The sequence below is a fragment of the Homo sapiens genome, chromosome X, assembly GCF_000001405.40.
Source record: "Homo sapiens chromosome X, GRCh38.p14 Primary Assembly".
NCBI classification, from domain to species: Eukaryota; Metazoa; Chordata; class Mammalia; order Primates; family Hominidae; genus Homo; species Homo sapiens.
The window spans coordinates 7,006,315-7,027,590 of NC_000023.11; the positions used below are offsets into that span (position 1 = coordinate 7,006,315).

The following is a 21,276-nucleotide window of genomic DNA, read 5'->3' on the forward strand; positions in this document are numbered from 1 at the left end:
ATTTTTCCACAGTCTCATTAACACATTATTTTCCGGGGTTTTTGCTTTGTGTTTGATAGTAGCCATTTAAATTGGCATAAGGTATAATTTCATTGTGGTTTACATTTTCATTTCCTTAATGATTAGTGATATTGATCAATATTTTATATGCTTGCTGGCTACTTGTAAATCTTCTTTGGAGAAATGTTTATTCAGGTCCTCTGCCTATTTTTTTAAATTGGGTTGATTTTTTTTTGCTGCTGTTTAGGTAGAGAAGGCAATCTTTGAATACCAGTGATGTTTCACTAATGCTGGGCCATTGATTTCACGAGAAGTTGTATGAGGTATTAGAATGTGAGTTTGGTTTCAATCATGGCTGAGGTTGAGTGCCTTTTCCAAAATTCAATGTGAATTTCATCAGAAGCCACAAAGGGTCCAGGAGCAAGAACATGGTGTGACTGCTCTCTGCTAAAGAATTTCAGCCTGATGACAGCAGGCTATACATGAGACTGACACAAGAACAGGTGGAAAGGGAGACTTTCCACTGGAAAAAGGTGATTCTAACATGCAGAATCACTTTCAAGGAGCAAGTAAGCAGAAAAATAGATAATGGCACAGTGGCCAGGCAAGAAGACACTAGGTCCAGAATCTGAGGTTCAAATCCTGGCTCTGTGAGATAACAACATGCCTTGGTTTCCCCATGCTACTGAAATGCCAGTGGTTGGGTCTAGGTCCCACTGCTCACTGCACAGAAAGCCAACCACTGAGACAATGAGCATTGCCAGGGAAGAATGCTTTATTTGGGTGCTGCAGCCAAGGAGGTGGGAGATCAGTCTTAAATTCATCTCTCCAGCTGACTAAAATTGGAGGGTTTATATAGCTGGGAAGGGAGGTAGCTACCTGCAGGGAAAACAGCAATTAAGGAGGGGTAAGGAAGCAATCATGATAAATGAGGAGTCTGGTGTCTCATTGTCTGATGGTGATGTGGTGAGTTTCAGTCTCTTGCCTGAAGGTCCGTTTCCTAACTCAGATGACTGACAAATGTTAAGTTTCAAGTTTTAAGACCAGATGGGTCAATTTCTATGTTTATTCAAAAACCCTGTAAATATCAGTTCTATGTGGAACTTGAGCTGGTTTCCCCCAGTTATCACAGTTAGGGTTAAATGATGCAATATAAGTAAAACACCAGCAGTGTCTGACACACACACAGAGTGCATGACACAAGTGGTGTGTTGGGACAATATAGCTCAGTGAACTCCCTTTGTCTACTCAGTTATATTGAGCAATGAGGCATCTCTGAAGATGCCACTTTGCTACCTCTCCCCTGATAATTTCACCAGATCCAGCCATATGAGCACTGCAAGTGGGGGCTTAGCTTAAATCATTCCTCATATTTCCCTTGCAGGCAAATCATTTGGCACCAAAACAGGCACAGAAGTCCAAGTCCTGCTGCCAGCTCCACGACTGATGGCACAGACAGACTTCAGGATTAGTCCTTTAATCTCTGTCCTCTATTAAATGAAGGTCATCATGCTGCTGCCTAATGTAAAAGGATTGTGGGGATTTTCATCATTCATTAACGATTATCTTATTCTTTGAAACCCCAAGAAAACTATATAAATTCCAAAGTCTAATAGGTACACAAGGGCTTTATTATGGATAATAATAAAATTTTTTTTTTCTTTTTTGAGATGGAGTCTTGCTCTGTTGCCCAGGCTGGAGTGCAGTGGCGTGATCTTGGCTCACTGCAAGCTCCACTTCCTGGGTTCACACCATTCTCCTGTCTCAGCCTCTGGAGTAGCTGGGACTACAGGCACCCACCACCACGCGCAGCTAATTTTTTTGTATTTTTAGTAGAGACGGGGTTTCACCATGTTAGCCAGGATGGTCTCAATCTCCTGACCTCGTGATCCGCCCTCCTCGGCCTCCCAAAGTGCTGAGATTACAGGCATGAACCACTGCACCTGGCCAAAAAAATTTTTTTTAATGCGCTCTCTTTTCCATATAATCCCAAGGTCGGTGAATCACCTCTAAGCCAGGTGTTTATTTTAGCTGATACTGCCTTAGTGTTGGCACAACTTAAATTTAGTTCAACTAATATTTGCATGATCTTTGCACAACACATAAACGCCCAGGAACAGGTGGTGCTCTTCGGTGGTCAACACCAGGGTGGGTGGCTATGGCAGGGCACATTCTTTCTCTATAGCCCAGGTCACTGGCATTCAAAGAAATATTTTTCAATCTCTGATTTTTCTCTGGAAGTAGGAAAATGCTTCCCTAACTGCTTTACTTATAAGGGTGTTTCTTGCTAATTCTGTGCCCAGAGTAACTAATGGGGACATAGACATAGACATCATTCAAATGGCATTTTCTCTTTACCATAACCCATGCTTTAAAATGAAATAAACCAAACCCATGCCTTAAGACAACAATCAAGAAATACATTCTGCCTAAGGAAAAGTCCTGCGTTTGAAGGTTTTTGTCCAAATAATCTGACATTGTGGTCATGAAACATTGAAAATAGCATTTGGAGCAGTAAGTTTAAAAAATTTAGAAGGACTAAAACTACTTGAATGCTTGTTGGGAGGTTTACAATGTAGTCAAACACCAGTTAAGCAAAAATAAAATTTACTACTTAACTATTTACATTTTCTAATGTGTGGTTTCATGGAATTGTTGAGATAGAAGTAGACACTGAAATAGGAGTACTTAAAGTAATAAAACAAAGATTTTTATAAAGTCATTTCTGACCTAATTAAGAAAAATATAATCTCTATCACATATGAAATAAACATCTTTAGAAAAATGCAATGTCAAAGAAAACACTTGGAATGGCCAACAAATATCTACTACAGATAGAAATGAAAATATTTATGTTATGTAAATGTTGGGCATCAAATTGTCTCCGAAGTTGCCTTCTAGAGAACTTTCTTTAGTTGGTATATTCTTCCTATGAATCAAAGGAATACAGTGTTATGATCATAAGTAATGAGGGACATGAGACAATTTTAAGGATTTTAGGAAAGTAGGGAAGCAGTGAAGTGAAGGGTAGGCAGATACTTCGGAGGGTAAAAAGTGTTTTTGATTCAAAAGAAAAGCTAAGGTAGTTTGAAGAAAACATGCATCATCTACTAGTTAATCTGAGGTACAACGAAGGTGGTGTTATTTTAACAGTGTTCAAAAAAGACCAATTAATTCTTCGGCCATACAGAAAGAATGGAAAGATTGCATAAAACAGATTCTGAGGAATACAAATCAATCTAGCAAGGAACTTTATGATGAAGGACCAATGTAAGCATAGAATGCACTGGGTTTTTTTTTAATTATTATTATTAGCAGCATCATTGGTATGGTGATGTTACCTACTTTTGGAGTGGAGCTAGATATGAGAGAGCTGCATGTCCTTTGAAATTTATTTGGGGTAAATAGTGAACACAGTATCTATGACGAGTTAATGGGTGCAGCACACCAACATGGCACATGTATACATATGTAACAAACCTGCATGTTGTGCACATGTACCCTAGAACTTAAAGTATAACAAAAAAACGAAAGAAAACTATATCTAAATAAAAAAGAAAACATTCTAGAGGTGCAGAATTCAAGCTAGAAGAATTGTGTCCTTGGATGTCCCAAGGTCAAATTTTAATATGTCATTGAATGAAGGTTCCAATGTTTGGAATAATGAAAAAAGTCATATTGAATTTTGTCTTTGCTTTCCTCCCTCCCCAGTGTCTACCAAAAAGGCTGGGTAAACATTCATGCAAGTCAATACACTGTCACAGCCACAATTCGTCCCAGCAATCTTTCCTGGAATAGTCACTTAATACATATCTGGTGAGGACCCATTGGCACTTTTAGAGCAATCAGAAAACACCTCAAATTGCTCACATCTAGTGTAGGAGAAGGCTAATCCATCCCTGTTTCATGAAGCATCACTTCAATGTCCTGGAACAGTCATTCTACCCAAATCTTCTGTCCCTAGAGCCCAACACTCTCTGCATCTTCATCCATTCTTCACAGGGCTTGATTTCCAAGACTCTCTACCATCTTGGCCACACACCATGTTACACATTCACTATGGACACTGCACCACTGTGGATGCTGCACCACTGCGGATGCTGTACCAAGAGTTCTGAATCCAAGGGCAGATTGTTATGAACAGCCCCTTTAAAAGTCTTAAACTTGATACACTGGTCTGTCAGCAGATGTGCAGAGCCTCTTATGGGAGACACAATTTTTGACTCATGTGATTCAATGTCCATAAATCTTCATCCAAAAGATGCCCATAGAGACAAAGAGCAGAGTAAAGTCCTTGCAGCAGTGTTTCTCAAACTTAGCCACCCACCAGAACTGCCTGGGGAACTATAAAAGATACCCATGCTGAATCCCACCCACCACGATTCTGGTGTAATGCTATGGGGTGAGATCTGGACATCAGGATGTTTGGAATCTCCCCAGGCTCATTGAACATGCAACCAAGACTGAAGCCCACTGTCCTCAGTAATGTGCCCAGCCCGGCCTTCCTGGCATCCCCTCATGGGTACAGGATGACAGTTTCTCACTCTGACCCTTTCCTTTATTCAATACAGCACAGCACAATCCAAGAGGGTGAGCACTGTTATGACAGAGAACCTGGAGTCGGACCTGATTAAATGTCTTCAACAAAACCAGTGCCAAGCCTTGGCCATTCAACTATCAATTACTACTTTCAACCCAGGTTCTAAAGGCTCTTCATTAGAAACATCTCGGGTTGGTAATGATTGGGGCAAATGTGCCCTTTGGATTTGATTGCTACCATGATTATTAATTAACCAAATTGTAGAGATATTGAGTACATTTCTCCCTCTTGTTTGTAAGAACCCATGAGAGACAAGGCCAATTGCAGACAATGGGGACGTCCTCATGATAGTGAGATGAACTGCCTAGCTATCTTCCAATATCGTTACTTCCCTCCAGTTTTGTTGCTTGCAAAACAACAGAATCTTCTCTCCATGAAATCATGGGTATCAGTTAGGAAGTAGCCCACTTGGTTCTGGATTTCGTTTAGAGATTTAAGATAGTAACAGAGGGTGCAGGATGACGAACAGCATTTGTACACTGTGTCTGGTAGTGGAAAATACCCAACAGTGTACTGTATGCTGACTCTGTCATTTCCTGCCTTCTCTCCTCCTTTCTTCCCTCCCTCGCTCCCTCCCTCTCTCCCTCCCTCCTTCCTTCCCTCATGAAAGCATAGCTCCTTTGCCATTCTTTCCTCCAGTCACAAGCCATCTACTTATGCACATCACCATGCTCATGCCATTACCAGGGGACTTTCTATCAGCATGAAGACATGAAAATGCCTGGGGAAGAAAAGGTGTGGGGAGCAGGCAGCACCCCTGCAACTGCCCGGTAGCATTTATACATTGCTCTTCCACCTTGGTTTCTATCCATGGCTTTCCTCGTCAGAGCATGTTCACTTTAACCTCCTCTAGAGCAATTTCTTGGATCCTTCAAGGGCTTGAGAACTAAACACAATTTCAAAAGAAACTGAGTAGGCACCTACCTTCTGGAAACAACATCCATAGAAAAGACTTGATTGCTATGGTCTGATTTATGAACCTGTGGCTCATATCAAGATTAGCATTTGCACTAGCATTAAGGTATTTTCATTGAGATCATTTATGTTTTGAAATAAATACTACAACATCAAGGAACTGTATCAGTTGGAGAATAGAAGTGTGTATGATTTGTGTATATAAACATGCACATCAAAGCATTTATTTATTTCAGAGAGTTGTATAACACCGTTAGAGTAAAAATTGAGTGATTCTCTTCTATTTCTGACCCTACTTCTAATGTCTTCTCTGTCCCTCTGTGCAAAACCATTTAAACCTTTTATCTTGGTTTCCTTTGTGAGAAAATGGGGATAATAGATACCCCTGAGCCATTCTGGAGACGTGTTTTGATGCCAGCCCAGTTATGTGATTATAGGAGAAAAAAGCTTTGAGCTTTTGGCACTTAGGTGCTACATAAATATTATTAGCAAGCTGCTGAGATTTTATCTTTGGAAACTAACAAGCATTTCTCTTCTAAAGCCTCATATCTTTAGCCCCTGGACACATGTTCCTGATAGCTCTCTCTTTACAGAGATCCCCTTGGCTCCACAAGGATAGAGAGTTCTTTGCTGAGAGAGTCACTGCCGCACGCTCAGATGAAAGGTATTCATTCTGCTTGGCAGAGTCATCGGTAGAGTAGCTGCTGATCCCAGCAAGGCAGGGTGGGTGATGGGAAGGGATTAGATTAGGAAGAAAAGGGATCCTCTTGTTCTCTCACTGAGGGGACTTTAAACCTGCAGAAGCACATCAGTGAGCGGACTATGGGTAAGTGCCAATGTGCAAAGTCGATGGTGCACACGTTACAGGTTGGTGAGAGATGATGCCACTCAGACCTGAGTGCACCGTGGAACTCTCTTGACTTCTCTCTGCAAATGGGTTGCTCCTGGATGTATAGAGTTATTCTACAGGAGTCCTGCTCCTAACTCATCAGAAACGTAATGTCCTCTGTTGATCTCAAAGGCATTTTCTTCTGTTAAAAGTATTATCCATTCAGCAATATGGAGAAAGGTCATTTGTGAAAATAAAATAGAAATGTCTGATGGTAGTGGGGGTGGGGGGTGTAATTTCCTCCCTATGTGAGTAGCATTAAGTTCACTCTTAATTTTTTTCTTCATTTCTGTAATTGGAGACTGATTTATCAAGAGGATATAGAATTCAATGACTAATTCCATTAAATGCTTAAAGAATAAAATAAAGGTAGAACTCAAAAGGCTTATTCCTGATTAGTTTTCAAGATGTGTCTAGGCACAGGAAGTTAAAAATAATACCACAGTGAATGCTCTGACCCAGTGCTAACAAAAGCTTCTTTTTTTCGGTGAGACTTGGCATAGAAAAGCACACATGTCATTCAGCAGTCCTGAAAAATGATGACTGAGATTTGGACTGGTTTTCCAGGGAATAAAATTGAGTGACTTTTTAAAAAGTTCTACTCCTAGAATCCGGGATCTAATCAATCCAATATCAACTTCAAGGGAATAGGCCAACAACCAGAGATGAAATTAGAAGAAAAATAATTAGAATAGCAAGCATAGGTTGGTTTTCCATGCTATGATTCTGCAGCAAAGGTGGTAATTTGGGAATACTGATTTGGGGAATCTCTTGTCATGGGAATAAGTTGTCAGCTTTGCTGAGTGTCTCCGGTGAGCTAAAACTGATTAAAACAGAGTGCTGGCCCTGGTATGTAAGCTCTAATCTATACTCCATATCTACCACTAGCCATTTTGAAGGAGGAGAGTTCCCTGATCCACCTCACAGGAAGTGCAACAGGCGTGTGGCTCGCCCGCTTGGTCGCTCAAACCCCTGATGGGAGATGGAGCACACAGATGGGCAGGTGCGGGGGCTGGAGTGAGTGCTTTGGGCTCCAGCCCCGCAGTAGTGTCTGGGGAGGGGGGGTGCCTGCAGCCTAAGGTTTACAATGCTCTTTTAGTCTTGCTGTCTGCAAATGGCTTAAGTGTTAACCAGCTCAATAGACCCTCTGCCTTTTCACAAGGGCAGAGGGCCAGTGTGACAGCTTTCTGTATTCCCAGCTTTTGCCCAGTGTCCCAGAAGAATTGGGTCACACACACAGGCTTGAAGGATGAATGTGGGGTTTTACTGAATGGTGGAGGTGGCTCTCAGCAGGATGGATGGGGAGCTGGAAGGGGGAATGGAGTGAGAAGATGATCTTCCCCTGGAGTTTGGTCATCCAGCAGCCAAAATTCCCTCTGACCACCCCCAGTTTAACTCCTGGCATTCACACGTTCCTTCCCTTCTCTCTTTCTCTGCCGTGTCATCTGCCATTTGTCTGCTTGTCTCCTCATCTCCTCATCTGCTTCTGGAGCCTGGGGTTTGGGGTTTATATGGGTACAGGATAGGGGGACATGGCAGGCAAAAAGGCAACTTTTCCCACTTAGGGCCGCGGGTCTCCAGGCTTGAGGGTGGGGACTTTGCTGGGGAACTGCCTTCTTTACCCAGTATTTCCCTGTCTCCTGTCCATATCAATTTCATGAATGTGTGGTCACAACATGAACCCAGAATTTGGAGGTTGGAAAGTAGGAGTGAATGCACTCAATCTACTAGGGTGCCAATTCGTAGCATCTAATTTGGTAATGATGAATTAGCAATAGAATCTTTTGGTAGGGGCAGACTTGGCGAATCTTCAAATGTAGCAGGATTTTAAAACGAATCGAATACTATCTCTCAGTCAATACAATTACCTCCACCACTCCCCAGTTCCTAATTCAAGGGTTATATTTTCAGTAACTTTATGTATTCAAAACTGTATTAGATGCTAGAAATACAAAGATGAGTAAGACATTATTAATCTCTGTCCCTAAAAAGATGAAAACTAGTGTGGAAGACAGCCAAAAAATTAGAGATTAATCTTATCTAGAAAATTCTAGAAACAGAATGAAGCACAACAGAGGAGTATTTTAGGCAACCTCAAGGCATTTAACCCAACCTGGAGCCTTTAGTTAGGTTAGAATATGGCCAGGAACAGGAAGTCAAGATTCAACAAATTGCAACACTGCAATAATAACTAACATCACTTTTTAATAGTGTTTTCTAATATGAAATCAAAATCTGCCTTTGGATAACTTTTACTCACTCCCTGGTCTTGTTTCTGTTCTCTGGGATGACACAGAATATATCGAATTCACTCCTACTCCGCTTAGTACTGAGAAGGCAAAAATTAAATAAGGCATTCCAAATTCTTGTCTGTATAGGGGCCAAGGGAAAGCTTCCCCTTCACGCTCTGAAGGTTTGCTGATAACCAACTAACAAAAGGAAGATTCACAGGAGAAAAAGCTTAAATATTTATTTGATCACAGTTGTATATGACATGAGAGCCTTTAGAATGAAGGCCCAAAGATACAGGGGAAACCGTCCATTTTTATGCCTAGGTTCAACAAAGTATGGACAGCCATGTAGAAATAGGGTTGGACAAAAAGGGCCTGATCTAAAGCTAATGGACTGAGTGTGGAAACCCAGCCAGGCCTGTCTGTCTAGATTCTTCTTGGCCTGTCTGAGCAGTGCTTCTTCCTTCTGGATGTGGGAAAAATTCACCATATTCCTTAGGTCCCCTCAAAGGCCCCTCTATTCATTCTATTTCAGGAAGGGCGAGAGGACCAATGAATAACCAACTTTCTGGAACGGAGGTCTTAGGACCTACAGTCAAACAAAGTAGGTCAGATCATTTCTTCTTTTGTTTTCTCTTTTCAAGAGGCAGGGTCTGATTCTGTCACCCAGGGTAAAGTGCAGTGGCCTGATCCATGGTTCACCACAGCCTCAAATTCCTGGACTCAAGCAATCTGCCAGTCTCAGCCTCTCAAGTAGGTAGGACTACAGGTGCATGCCAACATACCAGACTAATTTTTTAAAATGTTTGCAGAGATGGAGTCTTGCAATGTTACCCAGGCTGGTCTTAAACTCCTGGGCTCAAGCAATCCTCCTGCCTTGGCCTCCCAAAGTGTTGAAATTACAGATTTGAGCCACCACACCCAATCCAGATAATTTCTGTATGGCCAGTTTTTACACAGGAAGGTAGAGGGAAAATTAGAGTCCGATTTTTAGGTTTTATGGCTGGCTTTGGGGAAAAGGGGTTCTGGTTTCTAGGACCCGTCATGGGGAAGAGGGATTCTAGTTTCTAAGGTGCCTCCAGGGAGAATGGGACTCAGAAACAGGAGGGCAGAAGAAGCTCTGAGAGAAAGTTTTGCTTCTGAGGCTCTTTCAGAAGGATTGCTTGAGCTCAGGAGTTCAAGACCAGCCCGGGTAACATTGCAAGACTCCATCTCTGCAAAAAATTAAAAAAAAAATAGCCTGGTATGTGGCATGTACCTGCAGTCCTAGCTACTTGAGAGGCTGAGGCGGGAGGACTGCTTGAAGCCAGGAGTTTAAGGTGTGGTGAACTTTCTGAGGCTTTGATTTTGGGGTACTGCTTTCTGAGCCTTAGACCTAGAATCAGTATTCAGGTCATGGGGGAAGTTCATATGAGAATCTCTATTTTTTAACTATCAAACTGTGACTCCCACATGGGCCACTTGGAGATGCTCTCACTGATAGGCCTGTCATACACCTTTGGTGGGTAGGGACAGGAAAAGAGATTGGGTAGCATAAGATAAAGTCCTCCCCACCCCACCCATTTCAATAATGGGGTACACATTTATCATATGCCAATCTGAGACCCTTCCTGAACTTCACAATTCATATAGTGTTAGAGAGTGGTCTATACCTTTCTCTATGACCTCCAGCCCACACGAGGTTCAGTGACCCTAATGCCACGGAGGCCAGGATGCTGTGATTGAGATGATAGCAGGGGTAAGGAGGGTCTTTTCTCTGCTCATGGAGCACTGGAAGGAAGTATCTTTTTGGGTGCTGGACAGTGGGGAGGTCAAGGCTGTGGGCAGAGGAACACTGGAGCCAATGTTGGGAATAATTCTCATGCAAGCAAAGACGTGGTGTTTGGCTGGCCACAACCCCAGACCTTGAGACTCCAGTTCCACATGGGTCCAGGATATTGTTTCCATGTACAATATCCATCTGCGAGAATCCAGCACTTTCCACCACCTGCCGTGGTATGGCTGTGGTCCCATGCACCATCACCTTGGGCTTCAACTTCTGCAATGACCCCCTAATTGATAACCTGGCTCTTGAGTTGACCTTACAGCAAACATTCTTTTTGAAGAAAAGTCATAGGGCTTCACCCCACTGCCCGAAACCCTCCACTATTAGCTGCCACTGCACACAGAGTTGAAGCCTAAGGCATTGCACTTACACATTTTCATGTTATATTATTGCATACATGTTATTAGTTTCTGAGTAGCCAGGAGAGCATTTTTTCTGAAATTAAACATATCGAATGCACCACATTCTTTAGGTCCCCTCAAAGGCCCTTCTATTCACTCTATTTTGGGAAGGGTGAGGGAACCAGTGAATAAACAAAGGTCCTTGCTTTAAAGGCTGTTATGACCATAAAGTCTGTGTATTTCACAGCCCATGAGAGCAGCATCCTGAGATATTATTTATTGTCAAACTTCTCTTCTCAGGCCACACATCCCACTGCAATGGGGAATGGGACTGAGCAAATTGCAAGTTCTTGGTTCTATGTTCCAGTTGCAATCTTGCTTTCAGTTTTCCTGCTGTTAAAACAGCCTTTGCTGGTAGGACTGTGGGAAGTGAGAATAGATTTCATTTTACCTGCTGTGCATCAGCAGAAAAAACAAGTCTTTCTTTTCTCCTGGCAGCTGAGATTTCTCAGAGTTCTTCCTAGAATTGGATGTTATATATGATCTACTTTACTCATGCCCACCTGCATACACACCAAAGCCTGATGAGCGGTGCAAACCCACCCAATGTTTTCCCAAAACAGAAGTAACATGAGCACATGTGGAACTGTCAGAGGTGTTTGAACCAGAGCAACTGCATCTTGAATAGGAGCAGGGTAAAATGAGGCTGAGACCTACTGGGCTGCATTCTCAGATGGTTAAGGCATTCTATGTCACAGGATGAGATAGGAGGTTGGCACAAGATACAGGTCATAAAGACCTTGCTGATAAAACAGGTTGCAGTAAAGAAGCTGGCTAAAACCCACCAAAACCAAGATGGCCACAAGAGTGACCTCTGGTGGTCCTCATTGGTACACTCCCACCAGCGCCATGACAGTTTACAAATGCCAAGGCAACGTCAGAAAGTTACCCTATATGGTCTAGAAAGGGGAGGCATGAATAATCCACCCCTTGTTTATCATATTGCCAAGAAATAACCATAAAATGGGCAAGCAGCAGCCCTTGGGGCTGCTCTGTCTATGGAGTAGCCATTCTTTTATTCCTTTACTTTCTTAATAAACTTGCTTTCACTTTATGGACTCGACCTGAATTCTTTCTTGGCGAGATCCAAGAACCCTCTCTTGGGGTCTGGATCTGGACCCCTTTCCAGTAAAAGAACTATTCATTTTATCTTTTGGTCATCACCAAGCAAACACAACTATAAATAAGGAAAATAATATATGATTGTAATTTTACTCATAATCCCAAATGTCTTTCATGACCAGCACACCTTTGGTGTATTGGGTCTAAATCAAAGAAAAATTTGAGGAGTTGAATGAATGAGGTTTTGATATCTTAATGCACTTTGGAGAAAACCAACGGTTGCAAAAAGCTAAAGAAAACGAAAATTCATTGTTTACAGATCAGGCCATGTGTTTTTCATTTCTGCAATGGCGATGTGGTTGATTCCCATGGAACACAATGAGAGTGTGGTCTTCTCCTTTGAGATTGTATTTATTGATAAATGCAAAAATGCTAATGAATGCTAACTTGCTGGTTCTCCATGGCCTTCCTTCCTCCCTCCCTTTCCAAGAAGGGTGTTGTATCTGTCAGAGGCATTTGAACCAGAGTGGCTCCATCTTGAGTGAGGGCTAGGAAAATGAGGCTTGAACTTGCTGGTCGGCATTCCCAGAAAGTTAGGTGTTCCTAGCCTCTAGATGTTTACAGTTAAGGGAATAGATTGATAACGTTCACTAAACAGACCCAGAATTGGGAGTGTCCTGATATCCCGATATCTTGAGAACAGAAGCATTCCTAATTTTGCTTTAAGATAATAATGTTGATTCTTGAAAAATATAGTAATTAAGAAAATTAATCCTTTATCACAAACCCTTGTAGCAGAGCACATCTCCCCATGACCTTTTTTAATTCTCTATATAAACAAGCACTGTACCTAGGGGTGGGTGTGTTCCTTCTCTTACTTTCTGGAATGCCCTACTCTGTCTATGGAGTCGCTGTACTTTCACCACTTTACTCTTTTAATAAACTTGCTTTCACTTTGCACTGTGGACTTACCCTGAATTTTCTTGCCCAAGACCTAAGAACCCTCTCTTGGGGTCTGGATCGGGACCCCTTTCCTGTAACATATCCACCTGGTCAATTTAGAAGGCAGCTGTTATGTTTATCAGGATGAAGAAAATAAAACTCTTTTACTTCAAAATGTATTTCTATGATACAGTTTGAGACGGCTGTTCAGAAAGCCAGCAAACAGGAGGAGCCCTGCAAAGCTGTCTTGTATGGGGCGATTTGCGTCTGCAGATAAATTCTGCATGGAGGCAGCCAGGCTTTCTCGGAGACCATCCTCCCTCGTCTTACTGTAGGAAAGATGGACAGAGAGTCTGACATCTTTAAAGGTCTGAAAGAAACATTTGCCATCTATTCTCTCTGACGCCTGCTACCCAGGAGGTTTCATCTATATGACAAGACCACCTCTGCTAGCTTGGCCTCTTCTTCTCTTCCTCCCATAGCCTGTGTTGTCACAATGCAAGCCTCCATTCTTCAACCTCAAGATGGTGTGAAAGCTTCTGCACTCCATCCGGGGCATGGGGTTGGGTAATCACCCTATTAGTCACCCTACGATGCTCCCTGTGTGCAGGATAGTATATTTGTTTGATTTTTCTCCAACTAATTTTGCCTTTCATGAGTTGATTTTCCAGCAAAACTTCAGAGCAAAAATGAATGTTTTCCCTTGGCCTCTGCAAGGATAATGAATTCAGATGTAACATGAAAAATTTAGGAAAGATTGGGAGAATTTTTTTTTAAAGATCCAGGAATTTATCTTAGGGGAAAAAAAAGGAATAGTATTGGAAGGAGGATGCAGGAAGAATGAGAGAGAGAGAGAGAAAGGGAGATTGGGGAAAGTGAGGTGGAAGGAGGGTTTGTGGACGTCTGACATGCTGGAGAGATAGTGGGAATATGAGCTTAAGAGGTTCTAGTGTGTGCCTATTCGAGACACTGGTGAAACAATGGAATTATTTTTTAGAGCTTCTCTGGATATAGAAGATGGTTTCCATTTGAATGGGATGCCACCATGTTGAGCCAGGAAATAAGGCTTTCTTTAAAGGGGCCTCATAGTTCGCCAGCCTTTTGAAAAACTTGCCACTCAGGTGACCATGCTGGGTCTCCACTCAACTATTCAGGTTGGCTGTAGTAATTACTTGTCTTAACCTAACCTTCAGCTCTTTCTCTCCCAAACTGCAATTATTTGTCCATGAGTTAGAGCTGTCCTCAGCACCTCACCTTCATCCCCTGACTCCCATCTCAGGCAGTTTGGCTGCTCAAACTTATTATCACTGATGCCAAAAGGTGAAGACTTCTCATGTCTTCAGCACCCAGGGTAGCAAACTGCAGGACCAGTTTAAATGTTAATAGCATGTCTGTAATACACGCACAACCACATATACCACCATCTTTATGAAGGCTTAAGATGATGTATTCATTTTCCCTGTCATTTCCATAGGAAGCTGCTCTTTGTCACTCGGGGAAGGCCCCAGTTCCCTATCCAAAGTGGCATGAAGGAGATGCTCTAACAAAAAATGAAATGCAATTAGGGAACTGCTGTTCCTGTTTGAATGCTTAACATCAGCCTCATGGCTGGCACTATCCATCCCAAATACTGGCCAATGTAGCAAAGTGTGTGGGTGATCCCAGTGTCTGAACCCAGCCCAGAGTTGGCTAGCTCATGCCCCCTGTCTATTAGCAATTGGATGTGGGATTACTTCACCACCGTGGACTGGCCACTGAGAGGTGGCCCAGAGCCATTGTGAGAGGCAGCCTGTTGGGTTTTGAGAATGGCTCAGCCAATTCATGCACATGTCTGCTGGAATCGCCAGGGCAGGGGCTTTCTGGCTCTTCTCCTGACCTTCAGCATATATAGAGAGGTCATGAAGACAGAGGAATGCTTGATGAAGCTCTCAGGGTCTTTTTATTGAACCATGGCCAGTATCTTATCTTTTCTAGCTGCAAATGGTATTCCTGCTCAAACACGTGTCCTTTTATTATATAAAAAAGTAATGTGTTGTCTTTTTATTGAAATGGCAAGTGAATGGGAAAGTTATTTTTGCTTTGGAACAAACTGATAGGGAAGAAAAATCATCCCAATGGGCCGCCTCAACTGGTGTCTAACTCCTTTGCGACCTGAAAGTAATTGGAAGAAAGGGCTTTTGCTATAGACTAGAGACCCTCAGAGACCAAAATGCATATAGTGTTCACCCCACAAATGCCTTTAATGCACCCCCCCTTAGTTTCTATCACATTGCCATCCCAATTACTCAACACTGCCAGAGAAGATGTGCTCTGTAGAATTGTCATGAACTGTTGGTTAAACCGTGATGCTTTGAAGTGTCAATGGCAAAAGTTTGTTGTTGCAAATTTGCTCAAAACTATGCACATGAAACTTTTGTGGGTGGGCTCTCAGGTTTATCATTAATCATGTCTTAGTGATTTATTATTATGGATATGAGTATGTCATATCCATATGCGTATGTCAAAACTATAGCTATAAATGCAGATGTGCACATTGGTGTTGAGGATGGAACCAGCAATGGCTGGGTATGATTTCTGAGGACATTCGCTGGAATGTTGCATTCACAAAATGCCTGTAATCCTACCTCGATTTCTGAGACTTGCTGTAAACTCATAAAAGCAAGTGAAGGATAGACTACCACCTAATTTTCAGAACAATATAGTATGGCTGATTTTATGCAAAATTAATTACAGCATTACAGACTGAATTGTTCTTTGCCCAAGTGGTTTTCTCATCCACCTGCAAAGTCATTTCATCCCTTGCCATTGTCAGCATCCTTGGGCTTTATCAGTATCATTCAAACCACTTCATCCTCATCATTAACAAACTGGACTGTGGGCACCATCTCGGCCAGGTCGGTACTTTCCTCTGCCTTCCTTCTGCTGGTACTGAGATAAAGGAGGAACTCTGTCTTCTACCTTAAGAATCCATACTGAAGGAAGGGCATGGTCCGAAGTCCACAGCTGTTTTAACCATGCCAAGAGAAGTCCTGAGGGCAAAGGTGATGCAGCACATGATGATCTCAGAGCCCTTCTGTATGTGTTTGAGATGTCCGAGCTTACCAATATTGCATGAAGTACATCCTGTTTCTCAGGCTCTGGATTCATGAAATAGAGCTGGGAAAATGGAGCTCTGGAAATGACTAAGACTTGATTTAAAGGTTAAATTAAAACTAGGAGTACAGCAAGGGTAAGATTTCCCATGGTAGCTACATGATGGGCTAAATGTATCCTCAAGTTTCCTCTGTAGAGGTTGGTCTCATTTTTAATCACAAAGCGATTCACAGGTCCAGTCAATAAGGCGATGGGAGCAGTCAAGACCAAAGCATATTAGGATGTGAGAATCACTATGGAGCACATGCGTATGATTCTGGCCTCCACTGCCAGAATCCCTGGGTTCAAAATTTGACACTGCCAGGAACTGCTCATGTGAAGAATTACAGCAATGCCCTGGGCTTCTATTGCTTTCTCTCTGAAATGAGGGTATTTAGAGCATGCTATTGTTTCTGGAACATTACATATAAGTAAAGGAGGGATTTCCTCTTCTGGCCAAGAAGGAATAACATAGACTGGCTTAACTCTCGTACCTGAAACAACCAGAAAAACAAACAAAATATATGAAAGAGTGGTTTCATGACTCTGGAAATAAGGCAGTGAAGGACAGTGCTCCCTGAGAGCCAGGAAACTAACAAGGTGAACACCATGTTTGACACAGCTGACTGCCTTGACAGGGCTGTAGGGCACACAAACCACTCTGGGGAAAGAACCATCTGAAATAGAGAAAATAGTGCATGGTGCTCACACAGGGCTGGAAAGAGTGCCTGTTTCCACCAGCCAGACTGAAAAAAACCTTGTAATTCATGAGCCATTTGGCTAGACTACTCAGAAAGGTCTTGTGTGAATAGTGGGGAATATTTAGCTCCAGGCTGAGTCCTGCTCTGAATCTCCCTAATGATTCACAATAGCAAGGCTCCAATGTTGCCAATTGTCTCCAGGTAACTTAACCCAAACTGAGCAGATCGCTCAAAAATATTTGCAGGAATATAAAAATATCTGGCGTCTTAAAAAGAAGATTCACAGTGTTTGGCATCCAATCAAAAATGTCTAGGCATGCAAAGAAGCAGGAAAAAATGATACATAATATAAAAAACTCATCAACAGACACTGACTCGGAATGGATGCATATGTGAGATCATATTTTTGGTCTCAAGATTTTGCTGTTTGTTTGCTTCTCGAAGTCTCGTGGTTTTAGGTTTTACATACAGGTCTATGATCTATCTTGAGTAACATTAGGATGCATGTATGTTTATTTGTATGTATTATTTGTAGGCATAAACCAAAGTTCATTTTTTTTGCATATGAATATCCAGTTGTTCCAGCACCATTTGCTGAAAAGACTATCCTTTTTTCACTGAATTGTTTTGTACCTTTGCCAAAATCAGTTGTGCATATATATGTGAGTCTATGCTGTTCCATTGATCTACTTGTCTATCTTTATGCCAATACCACACTCTCTTGATTACTGCAGCTTTCTAACACAGCTTGAAATCAAATAGCATTTGTCTTTCAACTTTGTTCTATTTTTCAAAGTTAAACATCTTAACATTATTAAGTCTTCCAACGTACGCCCAATGTATATCTCCCCATTTATTTATGTCTCCTTTTATTTCTCTCAAGAATTTTTTGTAGTTCTCAGAGTACAGGTCTTATACATATCTTCTCAAATTTATTTCGAAATATTTCATATTTCTGAAGCTACTGAAAATAGTATTGATTCTTCATTGCTAGTATATAAAATAGTACATGATTTTTGTATATTGAGCTTGTGTCCTGTCACTTTGCTAAACTCAATTAATAATAGTTCTAGTAGCTTTTTTGTATATTCAATTGGATTTTTGATTATGTTGTCTAGGCATAAAGATGGCTTTACCACCTCTTTTCTAATCTGAGTGCCTTCTGTTTATTTTTATTTTATTACTGCACTGGTTCTGATCTCTTGTAAAACGTTGAATAGAATGGTGAGAGTTGGCATTTCTATTTTGTTCTTAAACTTAAAGAAAAGTATTAAGTTTTTACCATTAACAAGAATTTTAGATTTTTAGTAGATGCCCTTTATCAGGTTGGTTGAAGGAGTTCCTTTCAATTCTTAGTCTGCTGTAGGGTTTTAATAAGGGCTGGAGTTTGGGTTTTTTAAAAATGCTTTTTCTACATCTACTAAGATGATCACATTGTTTTTTTGTTTTTGTTTTTTCGTCTTTTTTAGTTTGACAATATTCAATATTGTGGGTAACACTGATTGGTCTTCAAATGTTTTGAAACAATATTATGTTTCAAATTACTTTTTACTTCTGTGACATAACCTAGCCTTCTCTCTTTTTTTTTTTTTGAGACAGAGTCTTGCTCTGTCGCCCAGGCTGGAGTGCAGTGGTGCGATCTCAGCTCACTGCAAGGTCCGCCTTCCGGGTTCACGCCATTCTCCTACCTCAGCCTCCCAAGTAACTGGGACTACAGGCGCTCGCCACCTCGCCCGGCTAACTTTTTTTTTTTTTTTTTTAGTAGAGACGGGGTTTCACCGTGTTAGCCAGGATGGTCTCGATCTCCTGACCTCGTGATCTGCCCACCTTGGCTTCCCAAAGTGCTGGGATTACAGGCGTGAGCCACTGCACCTGGCCGACATAACCTAGCCTTCTTTGTCTGAGTGTGTGTGCATGATTAAATAGATCACAGTATCACATTCTGCCAGGACCCACATGGCTGCAATGTATTCTTTTACTAGCAGAGTAGCACCTGAATCTTAGCAACGCCTCAGAGGTGATGGAACTGAACAGGAGTGAATCTGCCCAGGCATGAACGGCTCCCTTACAAAACAGTGTGATTGCAGTTTGTGTTCTCGGGTGTAATTACCTAGGAGGATTTCTTCAGTCTTCCATAAGAGAACTGTTGTAGGTGTTCTTCCTGCTTTTTTAAAAACTGAGAGCTGTGGCCAGCCTGTCAGAGCACGTCCTCTTCTTTCGGGCATATTCAGGATGTGCTTACTGGTCTGTTCACCCTGATAGAAGTTACTCTTCTCTGTCTGCTATATAGATTAACACCACTCACTGGAACTTCCATTTCCCAAAATTCCAATTCTGTCTTAAAGTCTTTTCTAAGCATGGCTTCTCTCTACATATTTGGTGCACCCTTCAGTGATTACAAAGATACTCCAAGGTCCTGCCATGATACTGAACAAAATTCAGATGTAGCAAAAGTGATCAAGGTAGGCAGCAAAGGGTTATCATTGTGGGGATGTAGTACAACCTCCCAACTGTGAAGCCTTGCACACATCACTGCATATATCTGTGCTTGACTTTTCTGAACCTGAATTACTCGGTGAACAGGGTACCTTGCAGTTTGAATGACCCTCAAGCTCTCAGAACTTCTCCAACTTTAAAGCGCCCTATTCTAAGAGAGAACTGTATTTGTTAACCCCAAGGGAGACAAGCTTGTCATTTCAGCCTTCCTTATTTAAAAAAGGTAATTTGTGCTGATTCTCCAGTACAAAGCACTTAAGTCAATTCATCATAGAAAGACCATTAGGTGTAAAGTGATAAATATACTATGTCAACTTTGAACATTTATTTAGCACTTTTCACTGTAAAAACTTCAGATTTCACAGGTCAGCAAAGAGAGGGTTTTGTTTAATTGTTTTGCATCATCAGATATCAATCTGCAGGGTAGGGGACATATCATTTAGGGAAACATGAAAGGGAAGGTAGGCACACCTCACTTTACAGAAATTTCTGCTGAAGCCCTAAATTAGTGTGTTGGTCTCCCCCATAAGCCTTCTGGCTTTTAGAGAACAGAGACTGCTTATTCTTATATTAAACTGGAGAAGGTGTTCTATAATGCATAACCTCTTAGAACTATAAATGTGTATTGTTTCTCTTTATCTCGACCTTCCAAGGGCCCCAGCAGCCTGCCCAAGGCTTCACTATCCTTGCAACAATCATGGCACGGTAGTGATGGGAAGAAAAGCTGCAGGCTCAGTGCTCCTTACCTACAGGGAATAGTGCTGATTCCTGTTGCAAAGCAGACCCATTATCAGAGGCCCATCAAGTCACACCATTCCCTTCCCTGCTGTCTCTTGGGCCTGCAATGACAAAGACATGGCAGAAACGCCACTATCCCTGCTCCTCTGCTTTGGCCAGATGCCACTGATGGATTGTTCAATTCTTCCCTGCAGAATCGTGCCCTCAGATCCTTCTGACAGTGTGCCAGATATCCAGCATCACCTTTGCAGTTTGGGAAGTGGCACCCAGCATCCACCCAGCGTGCCTTTCTTGATCTTGTCCATGGTGCTGAGATTCTGTGTGGCCCCCATGCGGTTGGTCTCGCTCCATGGGTCTCCATCCAGGGTGATGCCCACCCTCCTACCACCTGTGAACATTTGGTAATATCTAGAGACATTGCTGGTTTCCACCATTGGGAGTGGGTGCAACTGGCATCTAGTGGGAAGAGGCCAGGGATGATGCTGCACATCCCATGTTGCATAGACCCCCCTCCCACAGCAAAGAATGATCTTGTTAAATGTCAGTAGTGCTGATGGTACACAGACGATGTCCCACAGCAAAGAATAATCTTTTTAAATGTCAGTAGCATCAAGGTTGGGGAACTCTCGTGTGTCTGACAAGGAAACCTGCGATTCTCTCTCCTCTAGGATTGGACTCTGTCCCATGGTGCTGTCCACAATGACTGAGATTTTGACACCTAGATCTTCCCTTAGGAAGAAATCTTTCCTCAGGAAACTTAATTATCCCGCCAATGCTCACCAGCTGGAGTTTGACTTCATATTTTTATTGGTTTCCTGGAAACCTCTCATTGCATTCCCTCAGGTATCCACGATACCCAAACCATGCACACGTGTGACACACTGTGTTTAGCTTGCACAGCGTCTCATGCCAGAACCATCCCCAGCAGATTCAGCTCATTCTCCCATCGCAGCCCTGCTCCCCTATGCCCAGTTACCAGCAGGTCTCCCAGCTGAGCCTGCTGCATCAGGATAAAACCGTGGCCACGAGCCAACACTGAAAACTTCCACCTGCAGAAGTTGGCTCAAGTGCTGCCTGCTAACAACCGAATAAGTAAACCTTTGCTGCAGGACCTACCATGTACGCAGGTGTCTTCTAATATTTCTCTGATTTTTCTGAGCTTATCCTAAGATAACTTTTTCACACTTCACTTGCAAAGCAGGAATACATATATATGTGTGTGTGTGTGTGTGAGTGTATGTATATACACATATATGAGAATATAGAGAGAATATATATATATTCACACATATATGTGTGAATATATATATGAGAATATATATGAGATATATAGAGAGAATATAG

The 21,276-nt window shown here is 42.1% G+C and overlaps 1 protein-coding gene and 1 long non-coding RNA gene across 3 annotated transcripts in view; one reads left to right on the forward strand and one right to left on the reverse strand.

The window, feature by feature from the left end:
- The window catches only part of PUDP (pseudouridine 5'-phosphatase), a 442,316-nt gene that overhangs the window by 300,477 nt on the left and 120,563 nt on the right, over positions 1–21,276 (reverse strand). The gene's annotated exons all lie outside the window — the stretch shown is intronic.
- LOC107987331 (uncharacterized) lies at positions 6,185–20,556 on the forward strand. Its single transcript, XR_001755781.2, has 3 exons — positions 6,185–6,341; positions 9,171–9,239; positions 20,127–20,556. It is a non-coding gene; the product is annotated as an uncharacterized LOC107987331 (long non-coding RNA).